Source organism: Homo sapiens, chromosome 6, assembly GCF_000001405.40.
Source record: "Homo sapiens chromosome 6, GRCh38.p14 Primary Assembly".
Classification (NCBI taxonomy): domain Eukaryota; kingdom Metazoa; phylum Chordata; class Mammalia; order Primates; family Hominidae; genus Homo; species Homo sapiens.
In genome coordinates, this window is record NC_000006.12 from 83,904,835 (window position 1) to 83,929,530 (window position 24,696).

At 36.7% G+C, this 24,696-nt stretch overlaps 2 protein-coding genes across 5 annotated transcripts in view, besides 1 other annotated feature; both read left to right on the top strand.

The window, feature by feature from the left end:
• RIPPLY2-CYB5R4 (RIPPLY2-CYB5R4 readthrough) overlaps positions 1–24,696 on the top strand; it is a 114,064-nt gene that overhangs the window by 51,475 nt on the left and 37,893 nt on the right. For 3 of the 4 annotated variants that reach the window (NR_174604.1, NR_174605.1, NM_001400774.1), the window contains 7 exons: positions 4,175–4,256; positions 9,582–9,614; positions 13,171–13,231; positions 14,563–14,620; positions 16,248–16,341; positions 17,604–17,636; positions 19,636–19,758. Coding sequence is in view for 1 of the 4 variants with exons in the window: in NM_001400774.1 (NP_001387703.1) it covers positions 4,175–4,256; positions 9,582–9,614; positions 13,171–13,231; positions 14,563–14,620; positions 16,248–16,341; positions 17,604–17,636; positions 19,636–19,758 (484 nt within the window). In the remaining 3 variants the exon portion in view is untranslated. Of the gene's footprint in view, positions 1–4,174; positions 4,257–9,581; positions 9,615–13,170; positions 13,232–14,562; positions 14,621–16,247; positions 16,342–17,603; positions 17,637–19,635; positions 19,759–21,301; positions 21,498–24,696 lie in introns of all 4 variants that reach the window. The other variant, NR_174603.1, reaches the window with a different exon arrangement.
• Positions 1–24,696, top strand: part of CYB5R4 (cytochrome b5 reductase 4) — a 107,735-nt gene that overhangs the window by 45,146 nt on the left and 37,893 nt on the right. The window contains exons 4-10 of the mRNA NM_016230.4: positions 4,175–4,256; positions 9,582–9,614; positions 13,171–13,231; positions 14,563–14,620; positions 16,248–16,341; positions 17,604–17,636; positions 19,636–19,758. Coding sequence (NP_057314.2) covers positions 4,175–4,256; positions 9,582–9,614; positions 13,171–13,231; positions 14,563–14,620; positions 16,248–16,341; positions 17,604–17,636; positions 19,636–19,758 — 484 coding nt within the window. The remainder of the gene's footprint in view (positions 1–4,174; positions 4,257–9,581; positions 9,615–13,170; positions 13,232–14,562; positions 14,621–16,247; positions 16,342–17,603; positions 17,637–19,635; positions 19,759–24,696) is intronic.
• Positions 674–1,175: an enhancer, noted in NCBI's record as "H3K4me1 hESC enhancer chr6:84615227-84615728 (GRCh37/hg19 assembly coordinates)". NCBI's record gives its function as "activates a minimal SCP1, AML or CMV promoter by ChIP-STARR-seq in naive H9 embryonic stem cells {active_cell/tissue: H9 hESC(naive)}" and the evidence as "EXISTENCE:reporter gene assay evidence [ECO:0000049][PMID:30033119]".

The window sequence follows — 24,696 nt, forward strand, 5'->3', positions numbered from 1 at the left end:
ACCTCACTGAACTTCTTTAGAATCAATAGTTTGAATTCTTTTTCTAGGATTTCATAAATTTCTTTTTGATTGTGATCTGTTGCCAGAGAATTATTGTGTTCCTTTGGAAGTGTCATATTTCCTTGCTTTTTCATGTTTCCTGTGTCCTTATGTTGATATTGCACATCTGGTGTAACAGTCACTTCTTTCCTTTTTTTTTTGTATGTTTGTTTTGTTTGTTTGTTTTTTGTTTTGTTTTGAGATAGAATCTCACCCTGTTACCCAGGCTGGAGTGCAGCGGTGCAGCCTCAGCTCACTGCAACCTCCGCGTCCCAGGTTCAAGAGATTCTCCTGCCTCAGCCGCCCAAGTAGCTGGGACTACAGGCACGCGCCTCCACACCTGGCTAATTTTTTTGTATTTTTAGTAGAGATGGGGTTTCACCATGTTGGCCAGACTGGTCTCCAACTCTTGACCTCAGGTGATCTTCCCGCCTCGGCCTCCCAAAGTGCGGAGCCACTGCGCCCGGCCCTTTTTCAGTTTTTTTTAAATTTGCTTTCATATGGGAGAAATTTTTCCTGTAGATGTATCTGTGATGTTGGTGGGGTAGGACACTTCGGCTTTGATCCTGGGTGTGTGCAGTAGTGTAGTCTCTATATGATTTCTTCAGGTGTAAACAGCATCAGTGATGACTGTGACTTCCTCGGTGTCTTAGGGTACAATTATTGGTGGAGGCTGCGATGAAGTTTTGCTGGTTACTAGGACCCCAGGTAGGTTAGTCTTTGGGCCCCAGTGGTGGGAGCAATGGGCTAAGTGTGTCTGTCCTTGGGCCCCAGGATGGCATATGCTGGCACCAGGGTTCATCAAGGCAAGCTGATTCTTGGGCCTCTTGGTGGCCTAGTTGGATCCCAATAGTGGCAACAGTGGGTGAGTTCTTGGGCCCCTGGGCAGGTGGTGTGGCATGGGTGGTGACGGTGGCAGTCGCAGGATGACCTCTGGGTCCCAGGTGGTACACGCTTATGTTGGTGGAGGCTGTTATGGGCTGCGCAGGCCAGTCTCTAACCCTGCAGATGGCATGTGCAAGGAGGTGCTAGCTGTGGTGATAGCAGCCAGGTTGGTATGTCCAACCTCAGGCCCCTGGGAGGAGTGTTCAGGTGCCAGTGTGTTGGACTGGACTGGGCAATCTCCTGGCCCTCAAACTGTGCTGTGGAATAGGCAGAGGGGGGTGAGGCCAGCCATGGCAGGCATGGTAGGCAGGGGCAATCCCCAGGCTATCAGTGGAATGCTCAGGTGGAGGGAGACAGCAGTTGTGGTGATACCCTGCCTCTGGGCAGAGTGGTGCTGCCTTCAGTGGTAGGCAGCCTAGGCCAGTGGATGGGGAATGAACGTACCAGCTGTTCTTCAGCCCTGGTGACTTGCTCTTGCCTCAGCCCATGGTGCGGTAGCTGGCAGTTCCTTGAACCTAAACTCCTGGGGCAGTAGCCATGCTTCTCTTGCACTTCAGTCTGGGTTCTGCTGGGTTCTAGTACAGTGTGCAGTTTGTTGGGGCTAGGGCTCTGAAATGATCGTTTACTGTAGCTGCTTAGGTCTCAGGGGGCTTGTGAGACCCAGTGCAAGCACCCTCCCTGGAGCAGTGCCATCACACAATCTCCCAGCAGCTCTCTATTTTAATGTCAGGGCCTGCAAAGGTCAAAGGGTTCTTCTGTGGCTAGGATTGCATGAGTCCATGGTGGGAATGTAGACTGCTAAAGTTCTCCAACCTGAGTCTTTCTCAGCTCCCAGCTGATCCCAGCCCTGTAGGCTGCCTCACTTCCTTTTCATTTCTTGCTTTAGGTATCTCCTGTCACTTTACTGTTGAATTTCAGTGTTCTCTCTGGATGGTCTATTCAGAATGTAATTATCCATTCACTATCTTGGTTCTTAGTGGAGGAGGCAAGTATGAAATACCTCTAGTCAACTATCTTCTTTCTATACTTTACATACTTACTATTTTAGTGCATATTTATTTACTCTGGAATATACCATAAAGATTCCAGTATCAACATTTTTTTGGCTGGTTATTTTAATGATTATATAGTATTGTATTGAATGGCATTATATATTGATTTTCCTTTGCCGGTCTTTTACAATTGGACATTTAAATTGTTTCCAGTATTTTGCTAATTTAAGTAGTGCTGTGATGAGTATCCTGGTACCTACATCTTTATATACATGCAAATATTTTCTCAGGTAAATTCCTAAATATGTGAGTGAAAGAGCTGCAGATTTTTAAGTCCTTTTTTTTCAAACAGGGTCTTGCTCTTTTGCCCAGGCTGGAATGTAGTGGCATGATCAGCTTACTGCAACCTCGAACTCCTGGGCTCAAGTGATCCTCTCACCTCAGCCTCCCAAAGTGCTGGGATTACAGGCATGAGCCACCCCACCTTAAAATTATTCCTGGCCTATTTTAAGACTTTTAAGGCATATTGAGAAGGTGCCTTGCAGAAAGGTTGTTTAAATATAATTTCCACCAGTGGCATCTGACAACAAATACTGTCAGTTCTTTTCCTTGAAGCAGTAGAATCACTTTGTTTCTTTTCAAGAAAATAACTGTTAAATATCTGAGTCTGAATAATCAGTTTGTTTACTAGCAGTTCTTATAAATGGCCCTTCATTTTTTTTGTTCTTTTTTTTTTTAACTTTTATTTTAGGTTCAGGGGTACGTGTGCAGGTTTGTTATATAGGTAAACTCATGTCATGAGGATTCATTGTACAGATTATTTCATCATCCAGGTACTAAGCCTGGTACCCAATAGTTATTTTTTCTGCTCCTCTCCCTCCTCCCAACCTCCACCCTCAAGTAGTGTCTGTTGTTCATTTCTTTGTTTTCAGGAGTTCTCATCATTTAGCTCCCACTTGTAAGTGAGAACATGTAGTATTTGGTTTTCTGTTTCTGTGTTAGTTTACTAAGGATAATGGCCTCCAGCTCCATCCATGTTCCTGCAAAAGATATAATCTTGTTCTTTTTTATGGCTGCCTAGTATTCCATGGTGTATATCTACCACATTTTCTTTATTCAGTCTGTCATTTATGGGCATTTAGGTTGATTCCATGTCTTTGCTATTGTGAATAGTGCTGTAGTGAACAGTCGTGTACATGAGTCTTTATGGTAGAATGATTTATATTCCTCTGCATATATACTCAGAAATGGGATTGCTGGGTCAAATGGTAGTTCTGTTTTTAGTTCTTTGAGGAATCACCATATCACTTTCCACAATGGTTGAACTAATTTACAGTCTCACCAACAGTTGTATAAACATCCTCTTTTCTCCGCAACCTCGCCAACATCTGTTATTTTTTTACTTTTTATTAATGCCATTCTAACTGCCATGAGATGGTATCTCATTGTGGTTTTGATTTGCATTTCTCAAATGATCGGTAATATTGAGCTTTTTTCACTGCCGGATGACTGCATGTATGTCTTCTTCTTTTTTTAATTTATTTTAAGTTCTGAGGTATATGTGCAGGATGTGCAGGTTTGTTATGTAGGTAAAATGTGCCAAATGGCCTTTCATGAAAAAAGCCTAGTTGCATTTGCAAATCAAACAATCACCTAAGTGTCTCTTCACCGGGAAACCATCATACTTTGTAGCACTAATCTTTTTGAGAATTTCCCACTTTGTCACACAAAATATAATAAAAATATGTACCCAAGGGTCAAAATTTAATTAATAATTTTTCTACTTCATGAAGGATATTCTTAAGTATTCTTAAATATCTTCCTCATGCTCCCTCCCCTGTCCATGGTGGTGAAGAAGATAATAATTACTAGTACTGTTTGGACCCACTGCCTTGATTAATGCAAGATACTAGCAGTTTTACCCACCATTGCTTTTATAGCATCAGAGCAAATGTCAAAACTGAAAAAAAAGTGAGTAACTTTTTATTAGTATTATCATGAAACAAATTGAGACCTCATGGAGACCTGAAAGGGTGTCAGGAACTTCCAAAGGTCCCAACACTTTGAGAATACTATTCTAAACAATCTCTATCTGTGCAGCCTTTCTATCACACCCTGGTAGACTAATTGAATATGCTTCTTAGTTTTTAGGTGTGTGTTGAGAGTGGTTTCAGAAAGTTTAGTTTTGCTCGTACTAAAATGAGAGCATCCTGTGGAGTTAGTCATGTTGCTTTTCCATCATTTGTTTTACATACCAGGTTCATCGTTGGGTCAATTATGAATCCATGCTGAAAGAATGCCTGGTTGGCAGAATGGCCATTAAACCTGCTGTTCTGAAAGGTAAGTGGTGCTGGTGCTAAACCAGCATGGATGTGTGGTGCACATGTATTTTTTTTTAACTTGGATTTAAACAACTAGGTCTATACAAATCACTATGGTTTTGTAATTTTCATTGGCCTCCTGGTCTAGCCACTCCAGAGGTTTTCCTTCATTTCTTCTCTAGAATCATATTGTGACTTTCCCTTAAAAGTTCGACTGTTGTTTAGAGAAAGTTCAGTGTGAGGAGTACAACACTTAGGGTTGATTTTTAGATTAGTTTTTTAGAATTTAATTTTTTGAATAATATAGTCACATGATTCAAACATTTAAAAATACAAAAAGTTATACAGTGAAATTTTCCCTCCCAGCTTTTTCTCCCATTTGCCATGGACCTTCCGACTCTGCGCCTTCACTATAGATAACCCCTATTCTTACTTTAAACTTCTTCTAAAGTATAACCAGTTTCTTCCCCCTAGCTCTGAGATGGAAGAGGGATTTAGAGCAGTTTAAAAGTGAAGATACTGAGGCTTGTAGGTATTGTATCTTACTAAAAACTACAGAGTTATTTAATTGAAAAAGCCCACTTGAAGAAACCATGGGTAAACAAACCTTTTGTAAGGCAGAGAGTTGCCTCATTAAATGGTACCTGCTTTTTTGTAATGTATTTTCTTTTAGTATATGCCAGTTGTTTTTCACTGGGGTTGATTTTGCTCTTCAGGGGGACATTTGGCAATGTCTGAAGACATTTTTGTTGTTAGAACGAAAGTAAATGCTACTGGCATTCTAATTGATAGTGGTCAGAGATGCTGCTAAATATCCTGCGTTGCACAGGACAGACCCCCACAACAAAGGATTTTCTGGCCTAAAATGTTAATAGTGTTGAAGTAGAGAAACCATCTTATATGCATTAGTTTTTTATTATTAAAAATGATGGTATTAGTGGCACATACATGTTAAGCTGGTACGCATGCATTGGACAGCTCTTTGGTTCATCCTAGGCAAACTCTGGCACCTGTAGAGCTGAGGATGGAGATAGACACCAGGACCTATAGTGGGCTGAGACATTACTTTCAAAGATTTCTTTTACTGTCACAGCACTGTGAGCAAGGACAAGACATCTATTGAATGGGCTGCCTGCCAGTTGGAAGTTCAACTTTTGTAAAGTCAGTCAAAGTTCTTTCTTCTAGAAGCCTCAGTTTCCTCATTGGTAAAATGGAGACAATTTAGGTAGACAAAGCACAAGCTCAGAGACTAACTGATAGGGGAGAAGTAAGACGGTTACTGGTGGAGAGAGGGAGGCTGGGAGTCATTCTGAAGTGGGCTTTACTAGACAGACAAGTTTGCTATCTCAGCCTGGCTGCCTTAATTTGCTCCTTCTGCTATAGGGCCCGTTGTCTGGGTAATTCTTGCCAGAAAGATTTAAGGGAAAGGTAATTAAAAATGGGAGGTAGAAGTAAGAAGTCCCTGGTTAGGGGGCAGATGCAGACCTAAACAGGAAGTGTGTCTTCTGTAGTGGTATGACTGACTGATGTTTTGTTTGTGTTAGCATTTGTTTTGTTTTCATAGAAAGAGGAATTTTGAACATGTGTATATTCATGTACAGGTGATTCCAGATAAGAAAGGAATCGTAATCCCTCTGATGATAGGACAGGAATGGAAAATAACTGACAAATTGCAGAGTTGATTAAAAAAATGACAAGTGAAGCCAACTTGGGGAGAAAATATGAACTTCTAAAAATACAGCATATGCTGTGATTAAATGAATAATGGAGGAAAAACTGATCCTAGGATAAATTAATACTCTGGTATTTTTAAAGCTTTTTAATCCTCGGATTTTTCAGAATATGTGGATTTGAACTATTAAGTCTTCATTTTAATTCTGCTAGTGAACTAGAAGTTTGAGAGATGTATAAAATTGAAAGATGATTCAGAAGATGATTACAAAGATGAATAGAAGAAAGTAAGGTAAAGATAGTTTAAAACTGCAAAAATTAAGTTTTGTAAGATTTGAGAAATAAGTATGACTTTTAAATCAAAAACAAGAATTAGGCCTGGCTAGGTGCGGTGGCTCATGCCTGTAATCTCAGCACTTTGGGAAGCCAAGGCAGGAGGACTGCTTGAGCCCAGGATTTTGAGACTAGCTTGGGCAATATAGTGAAACTCTGTCTCTACAAAAATTAAAAAAAAATTATATTTAATTAAAAAAAAGAATCAGGTCTAAGTTGTGTTATGAAGAGTTCTGTTTAGAGATATGGAGGAATTTCTAGAGGAAAAAATGGTTATTAAACACATTATACAGAACCAAGAAGTCTTCTGGCAAGGCTAAGCAGGTAAGGGAATACAGAATGGTAAATTTAGGACTTTGTGAGTAAGATCCCTGGCAACAAGACTGAGCTCTTATCTGATGGTGACATAATACCAACCTTTTGGAATAAGAAAGGGGAATGAGGAATGTAGCTACAAGATAATTGTAAAACATTCAATTAATGCTCAGCATTTTTTTTTTCCTAGAATGCTTTTCTTCAAGGACTCCTGACAAATGCCTACACATTTTCAAAACTTAGCTAAAATACTACTTCTTCTATAGAGTCCTTTCAAATTTCTTCCAGTAGAAACGTTCTTCTTCTGTGCTTCAATAACACCTCCTGTATACCTCTTTTACAGCCACACGCAATCTTAAAAAGAGCGTATCATCTGGGTACGGTGGCTGACACCTGTAATCCCAGCACTTTGGGATGCCAAGGCAGGTGAATCACTTGAGTTCAGGAGTTCAAGACCAGCCTGGGCTACATAGCGAAACCCTGTCTCTACAAAAAAGAAAAAAAAATTACAAAAATATTAACCAGGCCTAGTGGTGCATGCCTGTGGTCCCAGCTACTCGGAAGGCTGAGGCAAGAGGATTTCTTGAGCCCACCAGGCAGAGGTTGCAGTGAGCCGAGATATCACCACTGCATTCCAGCCTGGGTGACAGAGAGAGGCCTTGTCTCAAAAAAAAAAAAAAAAAAAAAGCCTATTGACTTTATTTTTAATTCCGTTTATGGTATTTTTTGAATAAGTATTGCACTCATGTGATTCAAGAAGAAGCATCCTTATCATAGTTCTGCCTCCCATCTACTGTTTTCCTCTCCCATGCACACACCAAGGACATGTTTCTGTTGATGTTGTTGTTGTTGTGACTCTTTCCAAATTATCTTTATGTATGATAAGCAGACTGAATATATTTTCTTATTTTTCTAACTTTTTATCCAAATGGTATGTCAATGTCCGTATTATGTCAATATCGCTGTTAAGATGATCAATAGATGTTTATTAAAGAATGAGCATATTGGTAAAAGAACTTCCTACTGGATCTTTCTTTATTCCAGGGTATCCTCCTGTGCCTCTGCTCAGCAGAGGTAAACTAGATTTGGGTCATAATTAAAGATCCTTACCAAGGAAGAGCTGAGTGCTGTTAGATCACAGCACCAGCCTTCTAAATGACTCTGACCTCTCCGGAAATAAAGATTCTCATCAGAGTAAAGCAGTTTAACCAGCATTATGAGAAGATACAAATTTGATTGGCCATGGAGCCAACTAAATGATGGAATTAGTTACCAAGAGAAAACATCAGATTTCTTTTCAGAGAAGAAAGTATCTCCTGTGACTAAAATGATTCAGATGTAAATATGCTTGAAAGTGAAAAACAGTCTCCTCCATTTCTGTAACTCAGTTTTTGAAAAGAGTTGTAAAAACAGAGTAGGAGAATTTTTAAAGGTAACCCAGATTCTTTAAGTGGAAGTTCTCTTTCTACTAGTACTTCTTGTATTTAAAAAAGACTTGGTGGTGGGGGGGAACTACTAATTTTGCAGAATCCAGAAAGTTCTGACAGATTCAAATCTATTCATATCAGGCAAGAAATAATCATAAGAGATAATATTTTCTTCTTAGAAATAAATTACCTGGGACAATTTTTCAAAATCTGTGAACCTCTTAGGTAAAAACTAATTGTTTTACATGATAAATGAGATTTATTAAACTGTTGACCTTATTGTACACTGAAAATAGATACATGTTCTGTGAATTTCTAAGATAAAACAAATAATCACAACTGCAACAGCAAAGACAGATAAAACTGACTGGATGAAAGTACATGGCCAAGCAGGGACATCAGTGATCCTTTGCAAACTGTAATGGCCAGATTTGTATGTGGCAGTTGATAAACAAAGCTCATTTTGAAGTATAGTTTAAATGGTTTTTAGGCCTACTATCCTTTTAGGAAATATTAACTCCTGGATTGCCAAGAAAAATGGGACTGTGTTTCAGGAGAGACAAATCTAATTTTGGCTTTTTTACTGGAGTGGTAGATTTCATTCAAGTCCTTTGACCTCTGATTTTCAGCCTTTTTTAGGAGATCAGGTGATAATTTGCTGTATGTGGTAAATTCCTTTCAGCTGTAAAATTATTTTGGTAAAATGAGGAAAAGGAAAAGGATGGTCATTTGGCTTCCTTAATTATTATTATTTTGGGATGGATGAGTGAAGTGTAATTAATTATGGAATTTCTGGTGAAATATTGGAACACAAAAAATTTGAAAGCTTTGATTTTAAATACGTTAGTTTCTTTTTGTATAAAACAAGGTGATGTCAGCTTAAGAAATGATGTCTTTCCATTTGACTACTTGAATATTTTTTGTTAGCTTATCCCATTTTTTTTTAAATTTTGACAACTTGCTGAGGTGTTTAGTTTGACTATAATGGTATAACACTTGTGGATATTAGAATATAATATAGCTTTGTGAGTTGGCCGCCATCCTGAAAGAAAATACCTGTTAATTTTTTTCCTGGGTTTGTAACACTAATAATTGCATTGGGTATACATGCAAAAATCTGAACATATTTTAAACTTGTAATAACGATCATTTTATGCATTGAACTCAGTAAAAGGGAAAGATAAGGCATCTTTCTTTGAGTTGTTAATGTGTGTGTTTCATTTATGAAGTATAATCTAATAAATTCTGGTTAACTTGGACTAATTTAAAATATGATAACACGGATGAAACTTGACGTTTACATATGCTCATATAGAAATTAACCAAGATATTAGAAAAAAGTGACCAAAGAATTAGAAAAAATCCAAATGAAATGAGAGACAAACATCTGGAGAAATATGGTCTGGCAGTCTTCAGAGATGAAACTTACTTGTTTAAAACAAAGGCCGTTTCTATATTGGCCTGTTTCTCTCCTCAGGCCTTAGAAGAAAGCCCTTCAAAAAAGAAGGGATGTTATCTTGAAATCAGTAATGTGGACTGACATTCTCATTGACATTAAAGTATTCTTATTTGACTTTTTTTTCTAAATCACTATACAGACTATCGTGAGGAGGAAAAGAAAGTCTTAAATGGTAAGTCTATAAATTTATAATAAATGAATCATATTCACATGCTTATGAATAGTATTGATACACAGAATTGTCTGGGGCATTTAAATTTTTTTCTTTTTTTTCTTTTTGAGATGGAGTATTGCTTTGTCACCCAGGCTGGAGTGCAGTGGCACCATCTCAGCTCACTGTAACCTCCACCTCCCGGGTTCAAGCAATTCTCCTGCCTCGGTGTCCTGAGTAGCTGGTATTACAGGTGCACACCACACACCTGGCTAATTTTTGTATTTTTAGTAGAGATGGGGTTTCACCATGTTGGTCAGGCTGGTCTTGAACTCCTGACCTCGTGATCTGCCCACCTCGGCCTCCCAGAGTGCCGGGATTACGGGCGTGAGCCACTGTGCCCGGCCTAGATTTTTTTTTTTTTTTTTTAATATGAAAGATAGCTTTACTGGCCCAAACTTAAGAGTCTTTTGTAGGGTTTTATAGGCTCCTTATTCCAGCCATTACTCTTATCGTCGTGCCTTCTGTGACATCCCTGAATACATGTTATCTTCCCTCAGCTTGAATACTTGTAGCAGTTAGGAGTTTCTTCCTCAGAAACAAGACAAAATAAGTCAGTTTTCTTAGATGTGAGCTCACCTCCATTGTTTGCATACACATGCCAAATAGTTTATTAATCTACAATTTTTTAAGCTGAGTGGTGCATCCAGCCATTCTGGATGACTTGCAAATAATGACTGACACTTCCTCTCCCCCGCAAAAAAGTTTGGCATGGTGGTCACTACTGACATAAAATGCATGGTGCTAACTCTGACTGAACTATATTGATGTACATTTAGAAACATTTTTTTCTTTCATTTGCAAAAGCAAGTTACAGAAATGCAACTAACAAGCTAGATTGCCAGATGAGTTACCTTTTTCTTTGTTAACTGAAATAGTCTATATTGTGGACTAATTTATGCAATTTATAGTACCTGTAGTTGTTCATCGGATAATATAACACTCTATTAAATGAGGGACTGATCTTTGGTTTCGTCTGATGATTGACTCTTCTGTGGCACTACAAAAGCAACCATTGCTTAATGATTGATTACCGATAGACTAGGCATTTTCTTTCCACCACATGTGGCTTCCAGAACCTGTACTTTTCTGTTGCCTTCTTTGGATGCACTGCATTTGACTAATTTCTCAGTAAAAGGTGGCATTAAGTATGGAATATAGCACTCCACAAGTGATTTGGTTAGCACTGTTACCTCTTGTGACCTGGACCCTGTAAGATTGGAACATATCTGTCTATCTATATATTTATTAGCTGCTTTTCCCTTTTGGCTCATTTAAGTCTATGTGGTATGTCTCTGTATTTGCAAATGTGATCTGCCTGCATTCTATGTTACTATTCCAATAGCTGCTTAAAATACTGAATGGGTTGGACTACTTTCCTATTCCACTAGAGACCCGATCCCTTCAAATTGACGACATTCAATCAACCAATACTTATGGAAGGGAGAACATGCATTCAGTCCACCTTGCATTACTTAATTATTTTTTTTCACTACACATTCACCCCGTATTCTTTCAACTTACTCAAAATAATATTATGTAAAGTTTGAGGGTTTTTTTTGTTTTTAGTTAGTTTTAAATTAAGATATATTCCATGGCTTATTATTCTGTTTTAATAAGATATATCTTAATTATACTAAATAGTTTTTTAGAATGTTTGATTATTGTCTCATTTGCTCACCCATGAGATTGCAGGGACCATTTCATTGCTATTAATAGTTCCAATTTGAGGAAGAGGAAACAGTGGCTTGCATAAAATCACAGTACTGGCACCGAGCTTAAGTATAGATTTTCTGGTCCTAATTAGGTCATACAAGATCAATGTTGACTTACAATTTATCAATTCTGTTTATAGCGTTTTCTTACAGAAATTCTTAGATTTTGATGCATTTGATTTTTATTTATATACTTAAGAGACTTCCAAAAGAGAAACAACATTAATCTCTGAAATCTTTCAGTGCTTCTTAATTTAATAAGATTATTTTGTCTTGCTTTTACCATATTAGAAAAAATACATTTAATTCTTGTAGTCCTCTCTTGTTTTACGTGTAGTTTTGTAGTAGAGCACTCTTCTTTTAGTGCCCACTGCTAATTATTAGTTCACAACTCTGACCTTGTTGTCACATCTCTGAGGCTTCCTTTGTTTATTTGAAAATAGTGTTCTGCAGAGTTATGTGGGAAGAAATGGAAGCTGAATGAGTAAGGCCTGGACTCAGGGCTCACCATCAGCCCATTCAGAAAAATATGACTGTTTTACATCTTACTTGCACTTGAGCTTGTCTTGAAACAAAACGTTTGTGTCTAAAAAGAATCTTGAAAACCTCTAAACTGTCTTGTCCCAAAGGTGTCTTGCAACTCTTAAATTTATATCAAATACTTTGATTTCTAATTTGGGCACCCAAGACTCAGCAGATACTAACCATTAATTTTTGTTCCTGTATAGTTTGAAAAATAGTAATATAATTGATGCAATGATTTTCAAAAGTCATGTAGCAGCAGTACTTCTTTTTTCCAAACTAAATCTTACCATATACAAACAATGCACTTCTATTGTAGGGGGGAAACACTTAATGTTTGCAATATCTTGAGTTCTTCCATGCCTCAGAGTTTTCTGAAGTCATTTAAAAACCATAGCATTAGTGGGCTTTTAAAATGCATCATACACCCAAGATGCATTTTGTGGGTGTACATACCCACAAGAATGCATACCCACAAGAGTGAGTAAAATGGGAAAAGACAGAAGACCACATGTTGGTGAGGTTGTGGAGCAGCTGGAACTTTCAAACACTTTTTACTGTGGTAAAAAGTGTAAATTGGTACAACCACTTTGAAAAGCCATTCAGTAGTATCTTCTAAAGCTAAACATACAAACACCCTTCATACTAACCAAAAATGTAGATATGTGTTCTTTAAGAATATGCATGTACCTGTAAAAGAATATTTATATCAACACTGTGTATAATAACTCCAAACTGGAAACAACCTGAATGTTCATCAACAGGAGAATGAATAAATTGTGAACTATACATATAAAGTAATACTGCTCAGTTACAAAAAGGACCAAGCTGATGAATTCAGTAGCATGGATAAAATTTCAGAAAGCCTAGATTTGATTTATTGCTTATTATTTATCATGCTTATTTCACATAAGAACTGTAATGTCTAGAATATTGGACAAAAAGCCAGACTAAAAGAGAACATGTGTTATCATTCTACTTATATAAAGTTCAAACACAGGCAAATACTAACCATGGTGTTAGTAGTCAGAATACATGTTACTCTTGAGGCAGGGGTGGTGATTGAAAAGGGGGCATGAAGAGAGTGCTGACTGCAAGGGTATGTATGTTTCACTTTATCACGGCCTTTTGGCTAAGATCAAGTGAAAATATATTGAGTAGTACATTTGTGATTTGTATCCTTTTATGAATATATGTGATATTTCACTAAGAAGTTAACTTAAAAGACAAAAAGTTAAAAATACTTTGTAGATGAACTATAGCTATCTTTCTTTGTAAAGGCATGCTTCCCAAGAGCCAAGTGACAGATACACTTGCCAAAGAAGGTCCTAGTTATCCAAGGTATGCATTCTTATTTAAAATTTTTAAAGTTAAATCAATTATGTACAAAAATGTACACATTTAAAAAATAAAGTAGCTCTGGGTTTGATTTATTGCTTACTGTTAGTCATGCTCTTTGACACAAGAACTGTAATGCCTCATTTATTAGATGTTGTTGGAGAATGAGCTGTTCCATAAATGTGAATTTTAAATATAACTGAAGTTTGATCCATTTTAAACACCAATACTTTAAAAAACTATTCTAAAATATTTTTCTGATTATAAAAAAATACATTAATGGTAGAAAACTTAGAAAATAGAGAAATACAAAAGAAAGTGATAAAATCAGTTGTAATCTCACCATCCTTAGATGTATACTATTATTTATATTTTCCAGTTAGATTAATATAATACCTACTTCCATATTATTCTATTTTTATAATATTGGTATGACAGTATATGAGCATTTTTCTATGCTGTTAAATATTCTGCGAAAGCATTTTTCTCTGCATTCCATCATATGACCATGCCATAATGTATTTAAATATTCTATTTTTTATATCTAGTTCATTTTTATCAATTTTTAATGAGAATTCTTCAAAATATATTGCCCAATAGTTGTCTTTAACAGTTAACAGTAACTTAAGCAATACATATATATTTCGTTAATGACACTTAAAATGCCTTCAGGTGTGTTCTCTGTAGTTTTTTCTTTTACCCCTTTTCTCTCTACCACCAGTCTATATTATTCTAATATCAGCATCCTGCTATATTTGTTAAATTATTTCATATACAATTTTAAGTTAGGGACTAAGGATGCCCTCTGTAAATTAGACTATATAGGTGATAAGTGCAAAAAGAGTATCAATTTGATCAATAGCTGTAACAAAACAGAAGACTTAGTTTCACTTTAAGTTTCACTATGGACCCATTAAACAACCTTGATGAGTTCATTTCTTCACTACTAATATATTTGTGACAGGGAGGAATGAAGATAATAAACATGTGCATTTTTTCATGCTCTTTAACAAAATATGTTGTTTTGGTTTTGCTCTGATAAAAGAAGATTTTAGTAAAGAGATGTATAGGCTCTATAAAAAGGGTCTTGTTGAGGATATTTTGTTTTTACTCAAGTGGGAATACATGGAAGTCTAGATATTTTAAATTTAGAAATAGTTGTCAGCTGTATAATGAAGAATGTAACATGGTAAGACCAGTTTATTTAGAAAAAAAGCTTAACCTAGAGAAATACAGATATGTCTCATTATAAATTTTAAACATTTAATGATTAATATATGTGAATGCACATGATTGTCAATATAATTATTCATCCTTTTATTTATATTTTACAGCTATGATTGGTTCCAAACAGACTCTTTAGTCACCATTGCCATATATACTAAACAGAAGGTAAATATGTCTTTAAAATCAGAAAAGAAGAAAATAATAAATGTTAATTTATGTACCAGGTCTTTTTCTAAACACTTTTTTATATTATTTACTTCTCACTATAATTCTTTGAGGTAGATAGTATTGTTATCCCTTTTGTACAGAAGAGGAAACAAAGAAAAGATTAAGTAATTCACCCAAAGTTACACACTGAGTGGCAGATCTGGCATTTGGAACTCAGGCAGTCTGGTTCCAGAACATCTGCTCTTAACAGCCATTCCTATAGCCTCTTAAAAATCAGAGTAGGAAGTATTTTATGTGTTTTTCTGTGTGTGTGTGTGTGTGTGTGTGTGTGTGTGTGTGTGTGTAAAGCATGGATAACAAAAAATGAATCTCAGTTAACATCACCATAAGAACAAATTTCCTAGACATAAACTAGGATTGGAGAAGGTATTTCGCTGTGGCTGTGGCTTAGTATGTTTAAACCACTAATGGTGTTCAGATGCCCATTTGAAACTGAAGTTAGGGAGGTAATTCAGTAACCATCAAAACTAAAGTTAGGGAGGTAGTTCATTCACTAAGTATTTATAACCTGCTTCATGTAGAACACAGCCTTAGAGATCAGGGATCTAATAGGTCAGATACGTAGAGACCTGACTTTCAAAAGGCTTACAGTCCAGCTGGAAAATCAGATAAATATGCAGACAATTTAAAATATCTCCAAGCACATCCTCCAGCAACTGTTGAGGTTCCCACACTTTGAGGGATATGTAGATTTAAAGACAAGCTCTGGCAGCTAGGAATTTTTGAGAATTTATGCTACTTCTATAGTAGCAGAACCATGTCTGAACCAGTGGGTTCCTCTCATTCTTGCAGCATGATTTGGTCATTCTGCAGGAGTGACCAGCCTCTGCTTGGAAAGAGCCAAGATGGCCAGAGGCACTACTTATCCTGTTTTCCACTCCCTCTTGATATTGTCTCTTCATCACACAGTTCAAAACCCAGAGCACAGGCTCTAGGGAGGTCCACTTGCACTGGTAATATCAATGGAACACAGAGGATGGATGGCTAAGGGAAAAGGAAAGGTTTCCATGTGGAATAATGTATTCATTGAATAATATAAATAATATATATCTTACACCAAGGCTATGTAGAAGTTAGAGACATCTAAAAATATGTTAGTGAATTGATTTTTTTTATAAGCTAAGGTCAAGAGGTTATGTAATTTGCCCAGGATCATACATTACAGGAAAGATAAAGATGAACAACAAATATCTTGGTTTCTGCTGATTGTAATTTTCTGGGGGGTGGGGGGAGGGTTCCATATGGCTTATTCAAAAAATATTTATTGAACACCTACTAGGTGCCAAACAGTGTTCTAAAGATAGTCCCTTAACCTTAGAGCTTAGAGATTAGTGGATAAGGTAGATATTAAACAGAGACAAATATGTAGTAATTAAAATTTGGTGTGTCAATTGAAGGAGAAGAACTGGGTTGTAAGAGAAAAACAGAAGTCACATTTGTTTAGCTTGGAGGTTCAATAAAGAAGCACCGTATGAAGTACCGCAGATCACCTTAAAAGTATAGTTGTAGAAGTTTGGGGGAAAATTTTACTTTCTAATCTTTCTATTTTTGCTTTCTCTTTAAGGATATCAATTTAGACTCAATAATAGTTGATCATCAGAATGATTCCTTTAGAGCAGAAACAATTATTAAGGATTGTTTATATCTTATACATATTGGTGAGTACTTTATTATTATTAATGGAAAGAGCTCTGGTTTTCTTTAAATATGGCAATAACTTGGTCTACAGTCTAGGTAACTGTAATATTTTATCTGCTGTTACCATTTTGGTTTGTCATTTTTGATCAGTTTTTTTCCTGTAATTTCTTTACACTAATAAAAGTACTAGCAAGTGGCGGTGTGACCTCACCTTTCGAAGTTTAAGCAATTAGATGCAATCAAAATCAATAATATAAAATACTTGTTGGCCCAGTTGTGTAAAATCTCTCGTGCCTGACACCTACAAGAAGTCTTCCAAGGCCCATTGGTCACATGTCTTACTGACTGTCCTTCGCTAGGTGGCCCATTCCACTGGTCTGTTCCTTGCCAGTTCTGCCATAGGAAGTCAGTGGCTGCAGCAAAGCAGCCTGGACTACAAATTTGTATTGTATCCTCCAGCTGTCAGTCCCTTCGTGGCTAAAGACCAACTTTGTATTTTTTTATCAGGACAGAGAAAAAAGTGGTAGAAACCAGGGAACCCTACACTAGCATACATATTTTAAAAAACTAAAAATTCCACAGTTAAAAATATGAAACTCTTGGTTGCCAATATTGCATTGGAATGACTGAAATCATACAAAATTGTAAATTCCAGATAACCATATGAACACAGTGAAATTTACAGCAGACATTTGTAAGCGTATTTCTTGCATCCCCCACTTCTGGAATATAAGTTCCATAGGGGCAGAAATGTTTCTGTCTTATTAACTGTTGTGTCCATAATACCTAGAAAATACCTGTCACACATAGACGCTCAATAAAATTTTTTTTCAATAACTGAATGGATAGTCAACTTTGGAGAACAATAAGAAAAGGTAAGCTAGACCCAGACCTGGCCTCTGTTCACATACATACACACACACTCACACACTGGGGCTTGCGTGCTTCAGGTGCTGCCTCTCCGTAGCCTGCTCCTCTCTTGGTTTGTAGGATTCCCAGTCTGGAACCATCCATGCTTGGACTAGCGTGGGTTACCCATTTATGGGCAATTGAGTATTTGCTCTTTAGTTAAAAGGGAGAAAAATGAAACAATTGAAAATGTATGTATTTAAATGATTTGATTCTTTATTTTGATTGTGTAAAATTGTTTTGGTCTTTCAGAACACGTTTTGTCTTGAGGGATTTGAAATAGTACATAAAAGAGCCATTTAAATGACATATGGTGTTCAAAAACTGTATGAATTGAAGTTCTATTTTAACTAAATAAATTTGTCTGTCCTAGGGCTAAGCCATGAGGTTCAGGAAGATTTTTCTGGTAAGCTACCAAAAACCAAAAATTATGTATGTACGTACATATACACATACCTACAGAGAGAGAGATACGAAAAAATTGAAAAATTAGCATTTGTTTTATTTTTCATGTCTATATTTTCACATTGCAAAACAAAGATGTGATGTTTTCTCTTTTTTTTTTAAACTTTTAAGTTCTGGGATACATGTGCAAGATGTGCACGTTTGTTACATAGGTAAATGTGTGTCATGGGGGTTTGTTGTACAGATACAAACAAATACATTAATTTTTAAATATACCCCTCCCTCTGGTTTTGGGTTTTTTCCTATTTTTTCTTCCCCTTATTCCTTTTTTGTGTGTGAGATGGGGTCTCACTCTGTCACCCAGGTTGGACTGCAGCAGTGTGATCTTGGTTCACTGCAACCTCTGCCTCTCAGGCTGAAGTGATCCTCCCGTCTCAGCCTCCTGAGTAGTTGAGATCACAGTACACACACCACCACACCTGGCTAATTTTTTTTTGTAGAGACGGGGTTTCACATGTGGCCCCGACTGGCCCCCCTTATTTTTTTTCTCTCTTTAACCTTTCTTTTTTTTCTCCTTAAAAAAAAAAAAATCTGTCTCCTTTTTATTCTTCATTCCTCGTATCTGCCCTACTCCTGACATGCAGCTTATAGAAATATACTATGTTAGACAAATTTTTCTTTCATCTATATATTTAAATGTTTAATGTTGAGAGAGCATACTAAATTATGAATGTTGCTGCATATAAACATGCAGCGTAGGTTTTACACAGCTATTTAATAATAGAAGACTCATCATAGAATGGTATATTCTTGTTTTCAAGTACTGTCATGGTACCTTACACTGGTCCAATGTTTCCTCTTTTCCGTATATCATTATAGGCTCTGTAAATTGTATAAATCAGGCTCTTTAAAGACAAAGACCATGGTTTTATTTTGGTTAAGCTTCAAATCAGTGCTCATTGAATTGAATTCATTTGACTCATCTATCTTTAAAAGTTAAATTGTTACTGGGTGTTGTGTTCACTATAGGGGAGAGCAGAACATTGTTTCTGAAGAAAAATTAAATATGCTTTAAATCTTTAAAAGCATGTTCAATTCATAAAATTTAAATCAGCATATGAAAGCACATATTTTATTATTTTACCCATATATTGTAAACATTTTAATTATTCAATAAATAAAAAGGTAATCTAAAATATTTTTATCAAAGATTCACATGCACTTTATCAATTTACTCTATTGACTAGGAACTCATTCTCATGAGGCTCTTCTTGTGTTTAGTAGGCTCAGTATTAGTCTACTGAATTTAGTCATCAGAATCCTTCAGATTCTAAGGAATGTTAACGAAACAAATTAGAGGCTGACATGGGCGGATCTCGAGGTCAGGAGATCGAGACCATCCTGGCTAACACAGTGAAACCCCATCTCTACTAAAAATAAAAAAAAAAAAATTAGCCGGGCGTGGTGGTGGGCGCCTGTAGTCCCAGCTACTCAGGAGGCTGAGGCAGGAGAATGGCGTGAACCCGGGAGGCGGAGCTTGCAGTGAGCCAAGATCACGCCACTGCCCTCCAGCCTGGGTGACAGAGCAAGACTCCGTCTCAAAAAAAAAAAAAAAAAAAAGAATTAAATTTGCTTTTGTGGGGGCATTCGATGCTAATTTGTACATCTCAACCTTTTTTTTTTTTTTTTTGTTAGCTTTATGTCAATTAGTTGCCATGGCTATATTTGAGCTTGTTTGAAAACCAGCAACACATAGTAGTTTGGCCCTTAATAAATTAGTTTGAAAGAACTTAATCTGAATCTATTAATAAAATAAAGCATATAAGGATAAACAATTATGATTGTGATTGAATATGTAAGCAAAATCTTATTTATCCCACTAATAATCAGTACCATTCATATTAGATCAGGACACTTGTACTATTTGAGAAATACTGGTTTTAAAATAAAATCTTGTATTTAGTATCGATGAACACAAATGGAATTTATCTTCTTTTCAGTGCGGGTTGTTGAGAGTGTGGGAAAAATAGAGATTGTTCTACAAAAAAAAGAGAATACTTCTTGGGACTTTCTTGGCCATCCCCTGAAGAATCATAATTCACTTATTCCAAGGAAAGATACAGGTATGCTGTGTTCTTTTGTTACGTTAATTTCACATTCATGAAATTGTTGTTAGTTGTACAGTTGTACCAGAGTTTGGAAGGCTGCTTTGAAATGAGCTGAAGGGTCCTTGTATCTACTGCTAGGAAGTTTGAAAGGGACAATGTGTGTTGTCCTGCTTTTTTTTCCCATAGAAGTTAAATTTCAGACTCTACTATCTAATGTTTAGGCATAGCAAAGTCATTACGTAATGATACCTGAATGAAGAAGCCCACTTGTGCTTAGACTGTTGATCAACCATTTTCTCTTTCAGGTCCCCTTTTGTGAAAGATACAAAAACAAGTTTAAGTTTATGCTTTGTATGTCTGCTTGATATTTTTCCTAATGAGGAAGACATGTTTACTATTTTTCTTCTTAATTAAACTGGTTTCTCAGTTTACTTCTTGTATTAGTCTCTTCTCACATGGCTATAAAGAAATGCCTGAGACTGGATAATTTATAAAGAAAAAAGGTTAATTGGCTCACAGTTCCACAGGCTGTATAGGAAGCATGGTCCTGGCATTTGCTTGGTTTCTGGGGAGGACTCAGGAAACTTACAATCATAGCAGAAGGTGAATGGAAAACAGGCACATCTTACATGGCTGGAGAAGGAGGAGGAGAGAGATGGGGGAGGTGCTACACACTTTTAAACAACCAGATCTTGTGTGAACTCTGTCACGAGAACACCACCAAGAGGGTGGTCCTAAACCATTCATGAAGGATCCGCCCCCATGCTCCAGTCAACTCCAACTAGGCCCTACCTCCAACACTGGGGATTACAATTCAACCTAAGATTTGGAAGGGGACACAGATCCAAACCATATCTTTTCTAAAAGATGATACCATTCATTTCTTTTCATTTTTAAAAAGCTTTTTATCTAAGTTTAACATATATATAGAAAAGGGTGCATATTAGAAGTGCTCTACTTGATGATACTTTGCAAAATGAACATATCCTGTATTTTCTCTTTGGAAATTGGTAGTATTTGCTCCTTGTTCTAAGTGTTTTGGAATTTCACAATGATGTGCCAGAACATGGATGATTTTTCATCCTTCATGCTGGGTATACATTTTTTGTGCTAATCTTTTCAATATGGAAACTTAATGATCTTCAGTTCTTGGAAACTATTATTGGTTTTTCTTCTCCCCATGGTCTGTTTTACTTTCTACATATTGAACTTCCTTAACTGTTCTTCTAATTATCTTATCTTTTCTCTCTTATTTTCAGTTTTGTCCTTTTGTTCTACTTTCTGCAAGATGTCTTCAGCTGTGTCTTCTAGCTCTTCTATTGAGTTACTCATTTCTACTCATATTTTTAACTTCTATAAATCCTTTGATTTCTTTTCCTTTGTTTTAGCATCCTATTCTTATTAGCTTATCTTTTAAAGAATGACTGGTAATGTTTTCTTCTCACTGTATAACTTCTGTGTCCCTCAGGTTTGTTGTTTTTCATTTGTTATGGTGTCTTTAATATTAAATGCTTTCTTTGAATGTTTCCTAATCTTTTACTATCTGCTCATATTTCAGGGTGGGACTGTAAAGCTAATTGGAAACTGTGCATGTGGGTGTGGCTTGTCAACGGTTATATTCACTATATGGCTGGAACATTTCTTTGGGAAAAGTCCAATGCCAAGAGTCCCTAGAGTGAACAATCTCCTACCTTGTACCCAGCATTTCAGAAGCCATGTGGGGAAGAAGGCTGGGCCTAGCTTCTGGTATATCTGTAAGCGTCACTTAATTTTTTCTTTCTTTTTTTTTTTTTCTTAGAATGTTATATTAGTTTGCTAGGACTGCAGTAACAAACTACTACAGACTGAGTGTCTTTGGCAGAGTCGGTCTCTTCTGAGACTTCTTCCCTTAGCTTGTAGATGGCCTCCTTTTTTCCTGTTTCTTTAGATGGTCTTCCTTCTGTGTGTCTGTGTCCTAATGTCCTCTTTATAAAAATACCAGTCACAATGAATTAGAGCCAACTTAATTACCTTTTAAATGAAGACCCCATTTCCAAATGTCGTCACATTCTGAAGTGTTGGGGGTTATGACTTCAACATATGTGTTTGGTGAGGGGACACAATTCAGTCTATAGCATAGACCCAATCCAAAGACCCCTTGTTTACCCTCTAGAGTGCAAACTTCTTATATTTTGCTCATGTGGGGAAGTGTCAGTCATGTGGCTGTGCTAAGTAGGGGAGGACTTCAAGGGGATGGGAAGACCTATCCAAGCTTCTTAAATGAACTTGTATTGAGAAAGTAATTTTAATTCTACCTTGACTCTGATGCCAGAGGTACTTGGTCCTGCCAGTTTCTGGGCCTTAAAGGAATTTTGTATTATAAGCATGTTGGTTCTTGGCTTTCTACACTTCTGGCTTAGCATTCATCTGTCTTGGGTCTGTTGAGTCATTTACCAGTCTTCTCTCTGCCTTGTCAGCTCCTAAAGTTTTGTTGCTTTTGTCTCTGATTTCCGTTCTTCCTGTCTGTGTGGGCTTATGCCTTAAAAATCAAACACACATACAAAAACCCTCTTTGTTGTTATTTTAGGGGATTCAGAAGGAACTAACTGCATGTATTCAGTTTATCTTCTTTAAATATGTAAAATTATCATATATAATTTATTGCATGAGATAGGAAAAAACAAACTTTTTCCTAGTCTTACCGCTCCACTCAGAACACTAAAATGTGAGATTTCTTCTCACCAACAACCAATTCTACAGCAAACTGTCTATCCTACAATTTAACTCAAGTCTGATACATCCTGGAGTTTAGGGCAGACCCCACAGGTTAAGGGCTTAGTCCCACAAGACTGCCCCCTACTTCACATGCCAGTTGCAAATTCCAGGTTGTGATCTATCTTCTGACCAGCTACCTATAAATCAGTGTTATCACAGCCTCCTTCTTGGGTTCAAAAATTTGCTAGGATGGCTCACAAAACTCAGGGATACATTTAAGTTTATCATTTTACTATAAAGGATATTACAAAGGATACAGATAAATAGCTGGATGGAAGGAATACATAGGGAAAATATGTGAAAAGGGGCACAGAGCTTCCATGACCTCAGTGATTGCATCACCCTCCAAACATTTTCATGTGTTCAGCTTTCCACAAGCTCTTCAAACCATGTCGTTTTGGGTTTTTATGGGGGCTTTATTACGTAGGTGTGATTGATTATGTCAGTGACCATTGGTGAGCAGCTCAACTTTCAGCCTGTCCTGTCCTCAGAGGTCTAGGAAGGGGCCTGCTGGTTCCAATCCTTTAATCACATGGTTGGTTTCCCAGGCAGACAGGTCCCATCTTGAGGCTATCCAGGAGCCCACCAGGATTCTCCCCATTAGAACAAAAGATGCTCCTATCACCCAGGAAATTTCAGGGATTTAGGAATTCTGTTTAAGACACTTGTAGTACTTAGGAGATTACAGAAAGTTTTAGGAGCTCAATGTCAGGAACCAGGGTTAAAGACCAAATATTAGAATAGAAGATTCTTTTAGTGTCTTTTTACAAGGATTTTAGGAGTTCTATGTCAGGAACCAGGGACACAGACCAATAAGTATTTCTTTTTAATTCACAATTACGAAAATATATTTGTAGATAATTTTCAGAAAAGTATGAGGCAGCCTTATTTTGAGTACACCTTGTGTGTAGGAGACTGTTTCAGGCACTGGAATGAAACAGAGTATGGGAAATTTAGTTTCCCAGGTGGAAGATAGAAAATAAGCAAACATGAAATTGAAGAATACTTTTATAAGGAAACAGGCCGACAAGGACAAGTTATACAGTACAAACTAAACATGTTTTGTGGTGGCCCCAAGTGAATAGACACAGATGAATTTGGTCTTGAATGACTGCCTCAAGGAAGTGAATTTGAAGCAGTATTTTCAAAGTGAGGTCCATGGCTTTCAGAAAAAAAAAACAAAACAAAAACTATATGGGACTTTCCAGGTGGAGCTACAGATCATTACTGGTTGCATATTGTGCCAAGCATTTTGCTGGGTGTAGAGAGAGAAAAATGTAAGTGGCATATATAGGAAAGTTCAAATGGGTTAATTTTACCAGAGCAAGAAGTCTGAATTTTTTGGTCATAGAGAAATGATAGTGTGATATAGCAGATCAGAAAACAATAGAAAAGGGACAATGGAAATGAAAAGGTATTTTTAGAGTGAAGTCTCTTTCCCTGAAATTATCTGACTTATCTAGTGACTGAAAAATCATAGCAAACTAGGTAAAAGCCAAGTCCAAGAAATAAATGATACTGAGAACCTGGGCTGACCTCCATTTGGAAATACTAGTTAGAACGACATCATTCAGATATTCTCTGTAATTTCTTGAGGCTTTCCATGAATTCTTTTATTTCTGCTGTAAATTTTTCCTTGAATCCTGAAACACCATTAAAAAAGAAAGGTTTAGCTTTCTTGTTTGAAATGGGAGCTATAATGTGTTTTTCAGTGAAGGTTTTCCACTTTGGAAAATGACTTGGAGTTTAGGAGATATTTTTGTTTATTTCACTGCATTAGCAAAGATAATTTCATCTTTCTCTTTTCTCCTCCTTAACTCATGACAAAAACTAGGTTATTTTATTCACTAGCAAAGCCGAATGCTTACATCAGCAAAGTATTATAATTAACTTGCTTTGAGTAGCCTTAAAGATTTACAGCCAATTATGTGGTTCCTAGATTTTCAATATGTATTGCTGTAATTATTGACTTTATGATAATAGTATGCTGGCTCCATCTTACTAGTTTCTTAGCTAAAAGAACTTGTTTGAAAACAAGTGTATAAGTTGAAAAACTTTTAATATAATGTTTTCACATGTCAAATCTAGAATATACTTACCTGAAGGATTCATATATCAGAAAGAACATCAATCAGAGAAGAGAAACTTTCATTTTTTACCTTCCATCCAAATGTAGTAGGTCAGTATTTTAAATTGTAT